General features: G+C 43.3%; 1 annotated feature.

Annotated features, from left to right (window-relative positions):
* Positions 468-1,059: an enhancer, noted in NCBI's record as "OCT4-NANOG hESC enhancer chr4:64849662-64850253 (GRCh37/hg19 assembly coordinates)". NCBI's record gives its function as "activates a minimal SCP1, AML or CMV promoter by ChIP-STARR-seq in primed H9 embryonic stem cells {active_cell/tissue: H9 hESC(primed)}" and the evidence as "EXISTENCE:reporter gene assay evidence [ECO:0000049][PMID:30033119]".

Raw genomic sequence — 2,462 nt, 5'->3', positions numbered from 1 at the left:
AGGTGATTAAAAGCTTTATTGCTCACACAAAGCCTGTTTGGTGGTCTCTTCACACAGACGCGCATGAAACTTATCCTTGTTAATATATATTCTTTGGTATATACTTATTTTGCATAGCCTTGATAATGTGGCATCTGTGATCACCTCTGAAAACTTTATTGATCCAAAGTTGACAAATAATTCCCTTAAATTTGTCCTTACTCTAACATGAGCACACCTGTTATTTATTGAGCAATGCAATTTGTATTCTTAGACTTTCTATAAAGATGACAGTTTATAGATATTAGGTTCATAAATGAGTTAGTCTGCAGTGGGCTTTGATATTTTACTACAGCATATTATGTTGAACAGAATATTTTAAGGAAAATAGAATGCAATGATGCAACAGTTAAAATGTGTGACACCATAGGATCCAAAAAGAATTCAGGAAGATATGTTACAAAGTCTAGACAATGACTAACATGCTTAACATAAAGGAAAACTACAAATAAATGTCTAATCAGTTCCATTGCCCATTATTTCCTTAAATACTAGGCAGTTAATTTATATAACAACTAGGTGGAAGAGGTTGACACAAGATGGCAGAATAGAAGGCTGCAACAATTGTCCTCCAGGCAAAAACACCAATTTAGCAACTATATGCAAAAAACAAACAAACACATTTTTAAGAACGAAAAATCAGGATCAAAAATCAGGTGAGCACTTACAGTAGCTTCTTTTACCTTTGTTTTGCTAAACGTGGCATTGAAGAAGCAATTAAAATAGTCTTGAATCGCTGATGCCACTCCTCCCCCGACCCCACAGCAGCAGTGGCTTAGTGCAGAAAGCTGTGTACTGCAAATAAGGAGAGTGCAGCAATTGTGAGACATTGAACTCAATGCTGCCTTATTACAGCAGAAGGCAAAATAGGACCAAACTCACTTGTTGTCTGCCATAGAGGAAGCATTTAAACCATCCATAGCCAGAAGGGAATTGCCAAACCCAGCAATCAGAACTAGAGTTCCTGCAGCCTAATCACTTTAAGCTAAACTGTTATGGTATGCTAAATAAACTTGGAAGGCAGTCTAGGTCACAAATAATGCAAATACCAAATGACTCTTAGGGTTGAACTGAGCCCAGAGACAGTGGACTGGGGGTGTACATGACCTGCTGAGATACCAGCTGGGCATGACTAAGGGAGTGCTGACATAATTCCTCCCCTAAGCCTAGGCTGCAATCTCATGGCCCCAAAACAACCCCTTCCTTCCACTTGAGGAATGGAGAAGGAAGATTTTGGAGGACTTTGTTTTGCCTCTTGGATACTAGTTCAACCACAGCAGGATCAGGCAACAAGCAGAGTTCTGAGGCCCCCTTTCCAGGCCCTACTTTCTAAACGACATTTCTAGACACACCCTGGGCCAGAAGGAAACCCACTGCCTTGAAAGAAAGAATGAACTCCTGGCAGAATTCATCCCTTGCCAACTGAAAAGCCCTTGGGCTCTGAATAACCAGCAATGATATTGAGGTACTATGTTGAGGGCCTGGGGTGAGAATCTGAAAGTGGCTGGCTTCAGATGAGACTCAGCACATTACCAGCTGTGGTGGCTGTGGGGTGAAACCTGCATGAGAAAAGTGTGGGGAAAAGTAAAGAGAACTTTGTCTTGCACCTCAGGTACCTGCTCAGCCACAGTTTGGTAGAGCACCAAAAAGGCTGTTGTGACCCTTGATTCCAGGACTTGACCATTGGACAGAAGTTCTGGACCTGCCCTGGGCCAGAGAAGAGCCCACTGCCCTGAAGGGTGAGTCCAAGGCCTGGTAGTCTTCACACAAGCTGACCGAAGAGCCCTCGGGCCTTAATAGAACACTGGCAGTAGTCTAAAATTACTTCTTATGAGCCTGTGGTAGTGGTGGTAGCTACAGAGTGAAGCTCCTCAGCCTTTAGAAAGGGGAGAGAACAGTAGGAAAGACTGCTTCTTGTGGCTTGAATGCCAGCTCAGCTGCAATACAATAGAACACCAGGTAGACTTCTAAGAATTTTGACTCTAGTCCCCAGCTCCTGAATATCACTTGTGGCCCACTAAGAGCCTGAGGCAACACACTGCCTTGATGGGAAGGACATGGGTGTTCCCAGTGATTGCTGCCACTTGATGATCACAGAGCCCCAGACCCTTGAGCAAACATAGGTGTTAGCCAAGGAGTAGCTATAGCAGGCCTTGGGGAAGACCCAGTGCTGTGCTGCCTTCGGGATTGAATCAGCACAGTCCTACGGATGGTGCACACAGGAGTGCTTATTTCACTTCATCTCTAAATCCAGGTGGCTCAGAGTAGAGAGATAGAATCCATTTGTTTGGGAGAATGTAAGGGAAAAAAGTAAGAGTTCTGGAATTTAAATAATTCTTCCATATCTTGTCTATTATTATCAAGGTGGTACCTCTATGAGTCTGCAAGGACCACAGCATTACAGGGTTTGTGGTGCAGCCAAA

Source organism: Homo sapiens, chromosome 4 (genome assembly GCF_000001405.40).
Source record: "Homo sapiens chromosome 4, GRCh38.p14 Primary Assembly".
Taxonomy (NCBI): Eukaryota; Metazoa; Chordata; class Mammalia; order Primates; family Hominidae; genus Homo; species Homo sapiens.
The sequence above is the reverse complement of the archived record's forward strand: the minus strand, read 5'-3'. Positions and strand labels throughout refer to the sequence as shown.